The sequence below is a fragment of the Homo sapiens genome, chromosome 18, assembly GCF_000001405.40.
Source record: "Homo sapiens chromosome 18, GRCh38.p14 Primary Assembly".
In the NCBI taxonomy this organism is placed as follows: Eukaryota; Metazoa; Chordata; class Mammalia; order Primates; family Hominidae; genus Homo; species Homo sapiens.
In genome coordinates, this window is record NC_000018.10 from 1,067,658 (window position 1) to 1,085,418 (window position 17,761).

The window sequence follows — 17,761 nt, forward strand, 5'->3', positions numbered from 1 at the left end:
AGGGCTATTCAACTTAACTGTATCTATTTCTTTTTATGAGATATTAGGCAATTTGTGTCTTTTGAGGAATTCATATATTTTATCTAAGCTGTTGAATTTATAGGCATAAAGTTGTAGATAATATTTTCTTAATTCCTTATCTGTGGATTGTAGTGATGTCACCTCTCTCATGCTTAATATTGGTATTTTGGCTCTTCTCTTTTTTTCCTGATCAGTTGGGCTAAATGTTTATCAATGTAGTTTTATCTTTTTATCCATTATTTTTTGTGTTCTATTTCATTAATTTAAACTTTGAGTATCCTTATTTCCTTTCTTCATATTTTGCTTTTAATTTTCTCTTTTTTTCTAGCTTCTTAAGCTCAGGTAACTGTCTTGATACCTTTATTTTTCTAATTTAAGGCATTTAGTTCTATGAATTTCCTTTTAGGTACTACTTTACTTGAATTCCACAAATTTCAATATGTTTTGTTCTCAATTTCATGTATTTCAAAATACTTTTTTTATTTTTATGTTTTATTCATCTTTAGTCTCTTTTTTTCCTATTCTTGTTTAATTCCTACACAGTTGGGGAATTTTCTAGAAATGTTTCGTTATTGACTTCTAATTTGATTCCATTGTGATCAGAGAAAACATTTTGTGTCGATTGAATACTTTTAAATTTATTGAGACATATGGATTACAATATGGTCTGCCTTGGTAGATGTTCTGTGTACAATTGAAAAACTATGTGGAGTGAAGTGTTGAATGCAGTATTCTATACATATCAATTAGGTCAATTTGGTTGATTATATTTTTCACATTATCTATGTGTTTACTGATTTTTTGCCTATTTATTTTGAGATAGGGACATTGAATTCCCTGACTTAGTTATGGCTTGGTCTGCTTTTTCCTTAGAGTTCTGTCAGTTTTTGCTTCATTTATTTTGACGCACCATTATTAGTTACATAAATGTTTGGGATTATTATGCCATCTTGATGACTTGACCACTTTATATGTATGAAATGATTCACTTTATTCCTAGTAATATTCTTGTCTGGATGTCTATTTTATTTTACATCAAAATATCCCCTTCAGCTGTCTTTTAATTAGTGTTAACATGGTATATCTTTATCCAATCTTTTACTTTTAACCTATTTATGCCTTTGTAACTAAAGTGGATTTTCTATAGGCAGCATACTGATGGGTTTTTTTTTAAATCCAATCTGATAATTGCCATCTTTTAATTCTGGTCCTTACACATTTATTGTGATTACTCAAATGTTTGGGTTTTGATTTACCATCCTACAACTTGTCTCTGTGTTTCCCATTTGTTATTATTTCCCTCTTTCCTCTTTTTTTGCCTCCTTTAAGTTAATTATTTTTAAAATTTTATTTTACCTTCTTTGTTGGATTATTAACTAGGACACTTTGCTGTGCTATTTTGATGGTTGCTTTGGGGTTTATAGTATACATATTTAGCTTAACATAGTCAACCTTCAGGTGATATTATACTATTTCACATTTATACATAAACATCTTTCCATAATATACTTCCATCTGTCCTTTCCTGGCCTTTGTGTTTTGTTGTCATATATTTAACCTCTACATTTGTTACAAATCCCACAATATATCATTGTCAGTATTGCTCCAGTATCTTCTGGCTTCCATGGTTTCTGATGAGAAATCTGCTGTAATCTTTATTGGGATATAATGCATCTCTGTATGTTATAAATTGTTTTCTCTGCCTGCTTTTAAGATTTTTCTCTTTATCCTGGTTTTTGGTAATTTGATTATGATGTGCTTTGGTGTGCTTTTCTTCTTTCCTTTTGTACTTGGGTGTTTTAAACTTTTACAGCTTTTATCAATTTTGGAAACGTTTCCTTTTTTTATTTTTTATTTTTTCTGTGCACTTCTCTCTTCTTTCAGGGACTCCAATTACAAGAATATGAGGCCACTTGAAGTGTATATTACATGTTTCCGAGTTCACCAATATTTTCTTTTGCCATGCTTATTCTGCTATTAATCTCATCCAAAATATTTTTTTTCATCTCAGACACTTTAGTTTTTATTTCTAGAAGCTTGATTTGGGTCCTTTAAACATCTTTTGTGACTACTTAACATATTTGTTCTTTTTCTAGCTTTTTGAATGTAATATAACTGTTTTAATGTCCTCGTCTACTAATCCTATCATCTGTGTAATTTCTGGGTTGGTTCTGGTTAATTTTTTAAAATTATGGGTTGTATTATGTGTTGTATGGTTATGGACTGTATTTTCCTTCTTTTTTTCATTCCTCATAGTTTTTGGTTGGATGGGCATAGTCAGTTTTACCTTTTTGAATGCTGGATGTTTCTGTATTCCTATAAACATTTTTGCAATTTGTTTTGGGATGTGATTAAGTTACTTGGAGGCAGTAACACATTCTCATTCTACAGTTTGGTTAGGTGAGATCAGAGCAGTGTGTAGTTTGGTCTAATTTCCCCTCCACTATTTGAGACAAAGTCTTTCTGAGTATTTTCCCCAATGTTTTGTAAATAATTAGGTTTTCTATTTTAGCCTGTGGAAACAAATTATTCCTGGTTCTATGTGAGCTCTAGGTACTGTTTCTTAGCCTTTCAGGTGATTCTTTCTCCCAATCTCAGATAGTTTCCTCACATGTATGATCAGTACTTAGCTGAAGACTAGGAGAGGAACTTCCTTTACAGAGGAACCCCTTACAATCTCTGAAGCTGTATTTCTGTGCACTTCTCTCTTCTCAATACTCTGTCCTGCAAACTCATTGCCTTGGATACTCATTATATTTTGTATGCATTTTATCAGAGCATGTGTGACACACTTTATTTTGCTTATTTGTTTGCTTGTTTTATGCTTCTCTCTACTTATTAGACTTTAATTCCCATGAAGGCATTGAAGATTTCTCATTCTTTGTGACCTCAAAGAATGGTGCTTGGTATACAGTAGGGGTCTAATAAATGTTGGTTGAATATATTTAGTGTTCTTAGGTTTGTGATGTTTCCTTTTGGATCAAATGTTTATTATATAAGATACTAGTTTTGCTTTAAAAAAAGTAGTCAGAGCCTTTTATTTAACATTTTATTACTAATTTCTAATTTTATTGAATTATTGTCAGAGTGTTTGGCCTATATATACTACTTATTAAAAAATTTATTGAGTTTTTCTCTAAAGCTGCCACTGAAATTAAAAAATAAATTTTCTAAAGTTTCAAAAATATGATTTGCTTTTCATAAACATTCTAGAGACAGTTAAAAGGACACTATAGTCTTTGTTTGCAGGAAATGTAATGTTCATGTGTTTAAGACCTTAGTACTTGTTCTCATATATACATTTATCATAATGCTATGAACTGATAGGAATATATCTTCCACTATACTTATAATTCTGCTGATTTCTTCTTATATTTGTATTAGGCTTTGTTTGATATGTTTTAATGCTATGTTACTTAGTGCGTAATAGTTTATGTCTCATACCTTTTATCCAAATAAAACAAACGTCTGTATACTATTTACTTACTGGCTTTTATTTTTTGGCCTGAAACTCATACTTTTATATTAATATGATTGTTGATTGTTTTTAGGCAAGTTTCTGCCTGTACTTGGGTGATAATGAGAAGTTGCCTGAACTTGATAAGATTGGTTTATTAGAGTTAAGTTTTAAAATACTCATAATGGTACAAAGTGATAACATAGAATGTCAATTTAAAGAAATAATAAATATCAAAATAGAACATGTTTATTTTTGTGTTGTTAATTTTGATTCCTGTCTTGTTATTCTGAAGTACATCTGAAATCAGACTTTATGAAACAGTGACATGCACAATAATTTCCTCCGAAAAAAGATGTTTTAGTTTAGTAATGCCCCTTCTTGTGCATTTCTGTATTTCACAGACCATTATCTGCTTGACTTAGCCTCTTAGCAGAAAAGCTTAGAAATGAAATATTAGAAGACAATCAATTTTCCACTGGAAATGGAATTGAAGGATCTCTAAAATTAAAATAAATATATTGGAAAAGATTATGTGATGGACACAAAATTTACTGCTTTTTAGTGTAATAAATGTCATATAGGGCAAGATATGTTTGCACTTGATTTAATAGAGGGGTTGCTGTTTGATTTGGCTGATTTAATTTCTACCTATAATTCTAAACATAAACATAAATGCTCATGAAATGCAATATTAGCACCTTATATTACTTTCTAGCAGTTCTTAGAGTATGCTGAGACTTCAGATTCTTTTGATTTAAAGTGAATTGGGCCTGGTGCGGTGGCTTACGTCTGAAATCCCAGCACTTTGGGAGGCTGAGGCGGGCAGATCACCTGAGGTCAGGAGTTTGAGACCAGCCTGGCCAACATGGCAAAATCCTGTCTCTACTAAAAAAATACAAAAATAGCTGGGCGTGGTGGTGCACGCCTGCAATCCCACCTACTTAGGAGGCTGAAGCATGAGAATTGCTTGAACCCTGGAGGCGGAGGTTGCAGTGAGCCAAGATTGCACCACTGCACTCTAGCCTGGGCAACACAGCGAGAGTCTGTCCCAAAAAAAAAAAAAAAAAAAAGTAAAAAGAATAACCTATTTTTTTATTGTCAGTAATCTAAAAACAGGAAGTGATGGAAGTATCTGTATTTCTCTAACATTGGCCAATAATTTTTATGAGCACTTTCTCTCAAGTTAGAAAAACTGTAAATGTAGTAAACAGTCACTTGTGTTCACACTATTCTTCTACTCCTCTAAAAATATGACTGTGAAATCTTCCAATAATTTGTAGTCATACAATGTGGATCAGTTGTTTTTAAAAAGCTCATACTTGTCAAGAATGTAAAGGCCCAAAACTTGAGAAGGGATTTGAAAGATAGAAATTGATTAAAGGAACTGATATATAAATATAGTAGCAATACAGTAGCTAGTAATAAGATTTTAACCACCTCAATTCTGAAATATGGTTACAGTTCTCAGAAAGGATAGGAAAAATATATAAGTGAAAAAATAGTTGATACAAAGTTCATGTGTCAAAGTCTATGTATTATGTATTTGACTCTACAGAGTCCCCATTCTTCCACCAAGAGTCTGTTTCTACTTTAGACAAAGCACTAACAAGCATTTGAGAAATTGATAGAACCAATAGTATAAAGAATTAAAGAGAGATGGTGGCTAGCTTGACAGCAAGGGAAGAGATAGAAGCCTGTAAAACTAGATACATACATTTTTTCGTGTGTTGTACTTTTATTTATATAGTACTTGACATAAAAATGCCATGCCCCACATTATTAATCAGCACATTTTTATTTTCACTGTCTTGAGATTTAAAAAGATATTGATGTATCCGTTTTGTATTTAGATTATGACTTGATCAGCATCTGTGTTTGCAGAAAAAAAAAGAGAGGTTTGGATAAATTTAGGAATGGGATTAAGACAATGGAACATTCACAATGGAAAAGTCCCACAAGTTTGTAATTCACAAACTGGTTCTCCCCTGATTCTAGAAAAGAGCAATAAAGAGGTCTATCATATTAGGACCCAAATGCAAATCTAGTCTAAAACCTTTTAGCAATTAACATTGGTTTGATGATAGTTTATTTAATGAGCAGAAAAAAATTCAAGAAGACAGAAGTACTCAATTAAGGCTTGAGAAATCTGATGAGATTCAAGGAGCAAGGGGCAAATATTTATTTAAAAAATTCCTTTGAGTTGGAATACTGAGAGTTAAATTTATTAAGTAAACAGGTCACCACTTTAAGTAAATAAATTGAAACAAACATGAATACAATATATTCCAACTCAGGCCTGATTCTTGGAGCTAGAAATTTGTACTTTTATATGTCAATATATCTATTAAATAGCATGATGTTCTTAGTCAATGTTTCCTGATCTAAGAGAAGCATGATTTTTGCTCAGCTCTGGCATTTCAGTTTTTGACCATATGACAATGTCAGAATTAGAAAAAAATACTTTAAAAATATTAGATACATAAATTAAAGGCCTTGTCCTTTGAGAATATCATATTATTTCACATTATTTTATGATATAACAGTTTTTAAGGACTAGACTGAAACGTAGAGAAAGGATTAAATAAAGCTTTAGCATAATCTGGGAAATCTACTTTTGTGGGATACTCATTCTATGATGGTAGACAAATGCTTTGCTGCACAGGTAAATTCACATTGTGCCTCTTCCTAGTTGAGAACAATGTGCTGTCAATTTAGCTGTCATTCCATCATGCTGTAGTATGCAGACTTTCCTGTTGCCTTCACCCCTTTGAAGCCCAGTCAGGTAAAAACAAACTGGGGTTTGGAGACTCAATTAATAGAGATGGTTCAACAGATTCCATTAACAAAAGAGCTGTTTTAAGTCTTTGCCCAGGACTCAGACTAAATAATAACTTGGATTTGTAAATGTGGGCAAATGTAAGGGCTAAAATAAAATATAAAATATACATTTTATATTCCTAACTATAGGAGGAATGGAGAATTTACTTTTTATATCTGTAATTTTATTCAAAAAATATATTTTATGGTACAGTTCTTTGTCTTTTGTATTGATTTGATAATTATCTTCAGCGATACAAACATCTTAGTGTGCTTTCTTGAACCACTGGATATGGAACATCACAGATGTGTAATATTGTACTTGCAAGCTAAACTGACTAGATTTTCAAAATTAGAAAATAAAATCTTATTAAACGTTAAGACACGTTTGAACATAATGAGGAATGCTTTTAAATTATGTTCCTATTTTGTGAGAACCAACAGAGTAGGGTGCCATTGTAGTGCATTTTATTAAGACAATAAATAGATTCTCTCATCTGATATCTTATTTCAGTGTATTACAGAATGTAAATAAGTAAGAATTTTAGGTCATACAACACACACATTCACACACACCTTAAAATTAAAAGCCAGCATCCCTTTGGATTGCATTGTGTTGAACCGGTATGTTTTCTCTAGCAATGAACACAGTTAGCACCCAGTTCTTACTAAGAGTTCCATAAAGATTTGTTAAGTGATTTTATTTTATTCATGAAAGCATTTGTTCAATGGGATCGGTAAATATTTGAGTACACTGAAATATTATTTTAAATCGTGAAAGCTGGGGTGGGATGTTTGAGATCATCTAGTTCAATTGCCACTTGATCATCCACTTCAAGTGCCATAAGATCACCACTAATTTTAGAAATTTTAGACTCTGTATGGCAATTTTCTTGACCTAAAAAATATTTCCTCCAAATGTGATTATAGTTAGACTGAATTACATAAATGAAATAAGATACTAATTTATGTGGACAGACTCCCTTCTAAACCTTTTGTAAAAATTTGATGTTTTCTTTATACCATTGTACAGTATTATGTTACCATAAGCACTTTTACAGATATTTGTTGAAATTCAAGGAGCTATAAGAGTTAATATTTAGTCTGAACAGTTTCCCCAACCAGTAACATTCATTTCAGCTTCCTGTGCATATCATGATGACACTGAGCTCAGCCTGCCTACTAATTGAGTTACTTATTTAAATGCCGAAATGGCTTCTTAATAACTTCTTTAATTATTTAGCTATTTAACAGAACTCTTATCTTCTTGTCTAGAAAATAGTGACATTAAAACTGTTAATACATGATCCTGAGTGCTGGCATTATTTCTGGTTAATGAAAATAACCCAGATCTTTAGTAATGCTTTCATATTTGTATTTCACTCATTTTCTTTGCCTTTGTGTTACCTTAGTTCAAAATTCAAAGCCCTGAACTGTTGACATAGGCCATCTTTAACCGCTAAAAGCACAGCTCAGCCCCAGACTCATTTATTTTGAATTAGGCAAGGTTGGCAACATCCCTGCATAGATGAATGGCTTCTGACTAAATGTGCTGTGTTCTCCTCAATAGGAAAGAGCTTCCCCCCACTGAACAAACACTGCCACTTTTATTACCGATCATTAATGGTTAGACATGAAGCTGGCTGTCCTCTTGATGTTACCCTAGTGATTACATATTCACTTACTACATGCGCTGTTACAAATAGGCTCTGTGTCTTATCTACTTGTGATCATTTCCAGATAACAATATGCAGCCAGGTTGTTCCTGAACCCTGACCGTATGATATTGCTTGTTTTGTGTCATCTTGTTTGTTAACTCATTCCTTGATTACATGGCTCTTATGCCTAATACATTTTTATCACCTTGCAGCAAATTTCTGGTATCCTTATAGTCCAAAGCTCGTGTATCTGCTTTGTCAGAGTCAGAGTCAGTTTGGTAGTGACTTCATCAGCATCTAGCAATACAGTAACAAGTTTCTTCAACAGGATGGGGGAAGGAAATGTTTGGCTATATTCTCAGTATTTTTTTTTTTTTTTTTTTGCATCCTAGAGACTTGGCAAAGGGAGAAGCTATGCCCACTAAGTCTGTTTACAGCCAAGTGTTTTTAGAATCTTGGAAGTTTCTTTTTTGGAGTTCTTCATACTGTGGACCCATTGGAAAGCTGATAAAACAGATTGTCTGTAAGAGAGTCAATATAAAAATAGTCTGCAAGAATGCATGCCACCATCTGTGTTGTCTTATCTAGAAATTGTATCCCTGTCTCAGATTGACTTTCAAATTAATATGCTTATAAATATTAATTGATGGGAAGAAATTAGAAAAAGTGTAAATGTGTGTGTGAATGTTATATATATACATATATACACACATATATATTCTAACACATACACAGTTTTGGATGAGAATTTCTTCTGAATTGTCAGATGAATTCAGTCTGCAGGTTTCTTTTGAATCTGTATTAATCAAAGTACGTACAAGAGTTTAAAAAGTATTATCTTCTTGGCTGGAATGATTGCTTATGCCTGTTAATCTCAACACTTTCGGAGGTGGAGGTGGGAGGTCAGGAATTTGAGACTAGCCTGGGCAACATAGTGAGATCCTGTCTCTAAAAAAAGTAATAATTCTCTTTCATGATAGCAGTTTTGTAAGTTGTAAGTCAAAGGTTAATGATGGAGACACATATTAACCATGGTATCCTTGGTGAGTCACAAAGCACTTAGAAATGCATTTACTTCTGGATAATGTATGAATGTGTACATGATATGCGGCTACCATGTACCAGAATGCTAGCTACTCCTAAGAATAGAAGGAGTAGAGAGGGGAAATTATTCATTAGGCAAAGAAGAAAAAGTAAGGCTGACATGGCATTTAGCAAAAAGCTTTACTTGACCAAATAAGCTAATATTTGAAGGAAAACAAACAGGTAAATATAATCACGTTTGGCCCAAGTTGTTCTAGTAAAAATGAGTGATATTTCCCTTTTAAATGCTCCCCTCCCCCACTTTTGGTAAGAAACTAGTAGCAATACATCTCAGAAGTTCTCTTTGTCTTGATTTATTGACACTGAAGCTCCATGCCTGGAGAAAATCTCTCTGCAAACCTTGTTACATAGTGCTTGTTATTAGTTTTTCCATGTGTTTTTCTAATTAAAATGGTTTTCTTTAGTCTAATATTTGTAGGATGAAAATATTTAAAAGTGAAATGTGATAATCTCTTGGACCTTTCTTCACATTGTTTCATTTCCTACATTGTGTAAAGTACTTTTAATTGGGCAACTTAGGAAAGATATTTCTGGGAGCTGTGGAATGAAGCAAGGCACTAGAACATCCACAGAGTCTTGTTCACTTGTCTAGATGGAGGCAACCAAACTAGATTAAACGTTGATGTTTTTCCTTTTTTAATCTTTCCAATTAATGGTATGGGTTTAGTGAATAGTTAGCTTATGAGTAGACCTAGCCTGGTGTGGAGGAGTCAACAGCTCTCTAATGGGTGTTGATGCAGTCATGTCAGGAAGCACTATCCATCCAAAAGGAATCTCTGCTTGCATAGAGTCCTTTTAAAAGGGGGACAAAGACCTTAATTCCACAATTAGAGTTGAAGACTTTTTTTGAGACAGAGTCTCACTCTGTTGCTCAGGCTGGAGTGCAGTGGCACAAACAGGGCTCACTGGAACCTCTGCCTCCTGGATTCAAGCGATTCTCGTGCCTCAGCCTCCTGAGTAGCTGGGATTACAGGTGTGCACCACCATGCCTGGCCAGAGTTGAACTCTTAAGAGGCAACATAGCAAACTCAGTACACCTTAGTGGGTAAATTACTCTCATCAAGTCACCTCTTAAGACCAGGTTTAGAGAAAAGAGATATAGTGAGAGTATGAAAACCCTGACTTCTTGAAGGGGAGCAGTTAAGGGGACCATACTAAGGGAGGTGCTAAAAAGAGCCTGAGATACACTGGGAGTATTTCCATAAATACGTTTATTCATATTCAAATATAGCAATTTCTAATATGTATTCTCTGGTTAGAAAAGTAACTGAAAAAATTCTACTGAGTAGGTTGATGTGAGTGTGTGTGTGTGTGTGTGTGTGAGAGAGAGAGAGAGAGAGAGAGAGAGAGATCCAGGTAGGATATCTCTGTGTAAACAAGTTAAGGAAATGCTTCTGCAGAACAAATTCTACCTCCTCTTGTAAATGCAGGACATATGACATAACAGGTGGGACAAGCCATTTGAGAACCTACAACGCCGTCTCTGAACCAGCACCCCAGTTAGTGCAGCTGGGGCCTGGTGCCTCATCTACATACATCTGGAGACAACAGCATGACACTAGTCCTAGAAAATGTCCCTAGTCTCTCCCCATGGATGTGTCCAAGCCTGCAGAAGAGCCCAGGGTTTACTTGTGCAGAAGCTGGAGCACTAGCTGGAGCCTAGTCCATGGTCCTTCTTAAGCCTTGCTGTAAGAAGTCTTTTTTCCAGCTGCTGTGTTCTTCCTCAACTATCTCATCCCTAATCTTCAACTTGATGCCTGTGACCACACTGTGGCAGCAGTCTCCAGCCTGGTTGTACTTTAGAATCACCTGAGGAGTTTTCAGAAATGCTAATGCTTGGGTTTCACCCCAGAACACTTGAATCAGGGTTTGTGGTGGTGGGCCTAGACTTTGGGTCTTTTAAAATCTCCCCAGGTAAGTCTAGTGTGTAGTAAGATTGAGAATCATTGTGTGTGTGCCTCTTTAAAAATTCCATAGGCATGGGTGAAACTAGTTGCCAGTATTCAAGAATAATGTCTTGGTTACTGAAAGGAGAAAAAGTATATTAACATTTTGAAATTATGCCTATACAAGGTATTTTTATACTTAAAACCACTAAAATTTGTTTTTAAATTGTGGGAAGTTTCATTAAAGAAAATTAATAGATAACTGGTGGTTAATTGACCACAGAAGGAAAAACCTACATGTAGCTTTTAGATAAATATTTTATAAGGAGATTTATGTATCGTAGTTAATGAAGGGGTAATGATTTTATATTTAGATTAACTAAAGATGCCTTAGGTTGAATTCATTAAATATTAACAGTATCAAAAATGACTAATTACCATAAAAGTACGTATTTCACACTGTATGAATGGGATGTGTATCTTTAGTAGAGATGGGGTTTCATCATGTTGGCCAGGCTGGTCTCGAATTCCTGACCTTGTGATCCGCCCGCGCTGGCCTCCCTAAGTGCTAGGATTACAGGTGTGAGCCACTGTGTCCGGTCCCAACAATCTAATTACTGGGTATATGCCCAAAGGAATATAGAGTTTTCTACACAAAGACACGTGCATGTGTATGTTCATCACAGCACTTTTCATAAAAGCAAAGACATGGAATCAAACTAGCTGCCCATCAACAGAGGACTGGATAAAGAAAATGTGGTACACATACACCATGGAATATTACACAGCCATAAAAAGAATGAAATCATGTCCTTTGCAGCAACATGGAGGCAGCTGGAGGCCATTATCCTAAGCAAAGTAACAAAGGAACAGAAAACCAAATATCTCATGCTCTCACCTATAAGTCAGAGGTAAACATTGTGTACACATTGATACAAAGAGGGGAACAATAGACACTGGGGCTTATTTGAGGGTAGAGAATGGGAGGAGGGTGAGGAGCAAAAAACCGTCTAACAGGTACTATGCTCACCACCTGGATGATGAAATTATTTGTCCACCAAACCCCAGTGACATGAATTTACCATCTAACAAACCTGCACATATACCCCTTGAACCTAAAATAAAAATTGGAAGAAAAAAATAAAAAGCAAACAAATAAAAAAATAAAATTACCCCTTCATAAAACTAAAGAAATATTTAAAAAATTTGGAGAAAGGATTTTTTGGTATTTATTCACTCTATTTTATCTTGATGGAAATATTTATACTTATATTCTTAAGTGCTATTGTTTTGAAAGGAAAACATATCTATTAGTACAATCAAGGGGCTCTGCAAAACTTATTAATAATAGGGTTTGCTGGTATTTTAGACATGTTGGCAAGTAACTTTTCACCATGCTTTCAGACAGTTTTTAACTAGAGCCTAGGTGCGTATCAGGTAACATATTTCACTTTTCTGAAAGAAAATGCTCTAAGACACTTTTCAGAGTGACCATGGGACTGCATGATCTTTCTGCAGACTCATCTGCACCTAAGTGGCTGGACTTTCATTGTTCTAATTTTAATCACATCAATCCCTTGAAAAATACCTAATCCTTCTTCTGGCTTCGCTGTACTTTGCGCATATGTTGGAAGTTTAAGTTGTCTTTCCCCACATTACTTTGTCTGATAAATACTGTTTCCTCGAGTGAATGTCCCTAATGCCCAGCCCCCATACTTGTGGGATTATTTTGATAAGTATCACTTAACTGAACAGCTTTTTGCCCAGTCTCTGTCCTGAGTACAATTCTGGCTTTTCTTAGGATGTAGCTTATTATTCTAACCTGTTTCTTCTTCCCAAACATTTTTTTTTTCTCTATTTAAACCTTTACTGCAATTTCATAGGCTTCTTCAATTTCCACTGTATATTGTACATCTAAATCTTCTGTGCTGTGGATCATTATGTTACTTTCCTTTGTGATTTTTTTTTTTTGCATATATATTTGCGAAGAAGGGCCAACTCATCCACTCAGGAAAGAGTAGACACTTTAAACTGTTTTTCCAGGAGAAAAGACAGATTTTTATTATTCCGTCTGTTTTTGTAGTTTCATCTTTGTTGTGATCAATACCATGGGTTTGTGAGTATGTGGCTGTGAAGGAAGGCTGTGGTTTCAGGGCAATAATGTCTTAGAATAATAAACTTAGAATCATAGACTTATGTACAGAGTAGTCATGTTACTAAAACTGCGGGATGAATTACACATAACATCTAATCTAGCAATTCTCTCCTTTCTGTCACAGTACATTCAGAGAATATACCACATTCACATCAGCAGTAGTGGCTCAATCCAGCAGGTTCCAACAGAGGAAAGAAGCGGGCGTGGTTTTTGGAAGCAGTCTGAAAAAGTCCTAAGGAGATGACACTCTTATTTTGACTTTCTCAACCTTTGCTTTCATTGGAGAGTGAAAAGAATTGAGTTCGCTGGTCTGTAAACTTTATGTATGTAATGTTTCCCATGCTACCCCTAGTATCTTGGGTAGTAGTTAGTCAATAAAAATCTACGGAGTAAATACATAGATGATACCGAGAATGGCGAAAGATTTGAACAAAGTCAAATGGCTAGTAAGTTTTATGGATGAGACTTCTGATTTCTTCCGTTCTTTCGGTCAGTTCATTGCTGTGCTTTATAAAGAGAAGAAACATGAACTCTGCTTACTGTACAGCCATTCACTTTCTCTCATTTTTAGATTTTCCTTGCCAGCCAAGAACTCTAACAGCCACAGCAGCAACAAATACTGATAGTGCTTCGTATATGTTAGGCACTCTTCTATTCTTCAAAACACCATGATTACTATTAACCACACTAGGTACTATGATCCCCAGTTTACAGCTAATGATACTAACCGAGGCATAGAGAGATTAAGTTGCTTGACTGAAGAGACACAGCTAGTCGATTGCTATGTCTCATATACTACCATTGTTATTCCCATAGTCAGAGCACGTTTTGGAACTCCTATCTGTATCATTCTTCTTAGATTTTGTATATATAAACAGTTGAAGGGGAAGAGCTTTTCATTCATTTATTAATTTGTTAAATATTTATTGAGAACATATTCTTTGCCAAAGCTTGAGCTAAGTGCTAGGGGAAAAGGGTGAACATTATAACTCCTATTTTGCAGAAAAAGGTAGACTATAAATTATTATACTAGAACATAAGTGTTATTAGAGAGGTGTTCACTTATTGAAATATTTGACAGCTTGTCGTGCATCAGACACTGTGTCCTAGGTGTTTTGAAAAAGTAATAATTAAGAAACAGTGCCTATTCTCAGACAGAGATTTTAGCTAATGGGGTGGCTGGCACATAAGCAGTTAAAGTATGATATATTATCGTATAATGGTGGTATGCATAAAGTACATTGGGAATATTAGGATGGAGTGCCTAAGTCTTCTTGGAACAGATTTCTTTGTGGGAGTGATGTTGAATTCTGCTCTGAAAGAGAGTTAAGATTTCTGGGTGGATCAGTTGGTAAAGGGCATGCCAAGCCAAGGCACAGAACTGTGATGGTATGAGTATTACTGAAGCATAAGGCTGAAGAAATAATTGAGGGTCAGGTTGTGACAGGTCTTGCTTTTGCCTAGATCACTATCCATTGCTCTCTCATGTCTTAACCTGTCATCCTGATTGTACCCTCTGACTTCTTTAGTCTCAGGATTTCTTCTTGCTTTGACTACATTTTCGGCTTACTTATCTTGACCTTGGTTCCTCTTCTTGGTCTTTGTCTCTAACTTGCCTGAAACTTAGTGCCTTCTGTCCCTTTTCTGCTTGAAGCTCCTGGGTCTGGGATGGATAATCTGAAATTCTCCAGGAAGTAAGAGAGTCACCTGCATGTCAGCTAGGGGAATTCTTTCCTTCTAAAAAGTGTTCATTGCCTGGAAATCATCTAATTTTACCACAGGATGCCTTGGCCACATCATACTATCTGCTTGAGTGGGCATACCTCAATATTCTTTTTTTTTTTTTACCCCAATTTCTATTCTTATTTGGGTAATTTTCTTGTCTCAAATATGGAAACAGAAATTTTTTGCTGTGATGTCATAGAGTATAAATACATACATATTTGTCTTTAGTAAGAACTGAATAAAAGTGATGACCAAAAAATTCTTATGACAATGAAATTATGACATCTAATTTCTTTTCCTCGAATTTATGATGATTAGAGTATCTATAATATTTTCTTTATCCTTTTCTGGATTTTCCTAATTTTGTAAATTTACCATTTTTTTCTTCCAGAATTTCCCTTTAAAGTCTGTCTGATATTATATCCATGTTTTAAAAGTGTTGTGTGTAATTTTTTGGAAATTTATGCCTTTCTAATAATCCTTCTTTGTTGTTTTATATAAAAGATAAGGGAATCCAGTCACTTTGCCACTAAGAACTACTAGGTACATATTTTTGTGAAATTCTACTTTAGGATTTGAACTGGAAGAATCTTTGGTGGGAAACCAGGGTAAAATATAAAAGAGAGAAGTTAGAAAATTGAATAAAACATACCTGAGACATAGCTATCTGCTGGGCTTAGAATTGAGTTTGTAGTCTAAGGTTATTCTTTCTTACATGATAGAAATTATATAATTATTTAGCTTTCTTTTACTTTTATTATTATTGTATTTATTTTTCCATAAGTTATTGAGGTGCAGGTGGTGTTTGATTACATGAGTAAGTTCTTTAGTGGTGATTTGTGAGATTTTGGTGCACCCATCACCCGAGCAGTATACACTGCATCATATTTATAGTCTTCTATCCCTCCTCCACCTCCCATTCTTCCCCTCAAGTCCTCAAAGTCCATTGTATCATTCTTATGCCTTGGTGTCTTCATAGCTTAGGTCCCACATATCAGTGAAAACATATGATGTTTGGTTTTCCATTCCTGACTTACAAAACTCAGAATAATAGTCTCCAATCTCATTCAGGTTACTGCAAATGCTGTTAATTGATTCATTTTTATGGCTGCATAGTATACATATAGTATATGTATACATGTATATATGCATATATTTACACATGTATATATGCATATATGTACACATGTATATATATATGTACACATGTATATATGTATATATGTATATATGTATATGTACATGTGTATATGTATATATGTATATGTACATGTGTATATGTATATATGTATATACATGTGTATATGTATATATGTATATGTACACGTGTATATGTATATATGTATATGTACACGTGTATATATGTGTATACACACGTGTATATATGTGTATACACACGTGTGTATATATATGTGTGTGTATATATATGTATATATACCACAGTTTCTTTATTCACTTGTTGATTGAGGGGCATTTGGGTTGGTTCCATGATTTTGCAATTGTGAATTGTGCTGCTATAAACATGCGTGTGCAAATATCTTTTTCATATAATGACTTCTTTTCCTCTGGGTAGATACTCAGTAGTGGGATTGCTAGATCACATGGTAGTTCTACTGTTAGTTCTTTAAGGAATCTCCAAACTGTTTTCCATAGTGGCTGTACTATTTTACATTCTCACCAGCAGTGTAGAAGTGTTCCCTGTTCACCGCATCTATGCCAACATCTACTGTTTTGTGATTTGTTGATCATGGCCATTCTTGCAGGAGTAAGGTAGTATATTGCATTGTGGTTTTGATTTGCATTTCCCTGATAATTAGTGATGTCAAGCATTTTTTCATATGTTTGTTGGCTCTTCGTGTATCTTCTTTTGAGAATTGTCTATTCATGTCCTTAGAACTCTTTTTGATGGGACTGTTTGTTTTTTTCTTACTGATTTGGTTAAGTTCATTGTAGATTTTGGATATTAGTCCTTTGTCAGATGTATAGATTGTGAAGATTTTCTTCCACTCTGTGGGTTGTCTGTTTACTCTGCTGGCTGTTCCTTTTGCCATGCAAAAGCTCTTTAGTTTAATTAGGTGCCAGCTGTCTACCTTTCTTTTTATTGCATTTGCTTTTGGGTTCTTGATCATGAAGTCCTTGCCTAAGCCAATGCCCAGAAGGGTTTTTCCAATGTTGTCTTCTAGAATTTTTATACTTTCAGGTCTTAGGTTTAAGTCCTTAATCCATCTTGAGTTGATTTTTGTATATAGTGAGAAATGAGGATCCAGTTTCATTCTCCTACATGTGACTAGCCAATTATCCTAGCACCATTTGTTGAAAAGGATGTCCTTTCTCTACTTTATGTTTTTGTTTGCTTTGTCAAAGATCAATTGGCTGTAAGTATTTGGCTTTATTTCTGGGTTCTCTATTCTGTTCCATAGGTCTATGTGCCTATTTTTATACAAGTACCATGCTGTTTCGGTGACTATGGCCTTACAGTATAGTTTGAAATCAGGTAATGTGATGCCTCCAGATTTCTTCTTTTTGCTTAGTCTTGCTTTGCCTATATGAGCTCTTTTTTGGTTCCATATGAATTTTAGGATTGTTTTTTCTAATTCTGTGAAGAATCATGGTGGTATTCTGATGGGGATTGCATTGAATTTGTAGATTGCTTTTGGCAGTATGGTCATTTTCACAATATTGATACTACTCATTTGTGAGGATGGGATGTGTTTCCATTTGTTTGTGTTGTCTGATTTCTTTCAGCAGTATTTTGTAGTTTCCCTTGTAGAGGTCTTTCAACTCCTTTGTTAGGTGTATTCCTAAGTCTTTCACATTTTTGCAGCTATCATAAAAGGGGTTGAGTTCTTGATTTGATTCTCTGCTTGGCTGTTGTTTGTGTATAGAAGAGCTACTGATTTGTGTACATTAATCTCATATGCAGAAACTTTGCTAA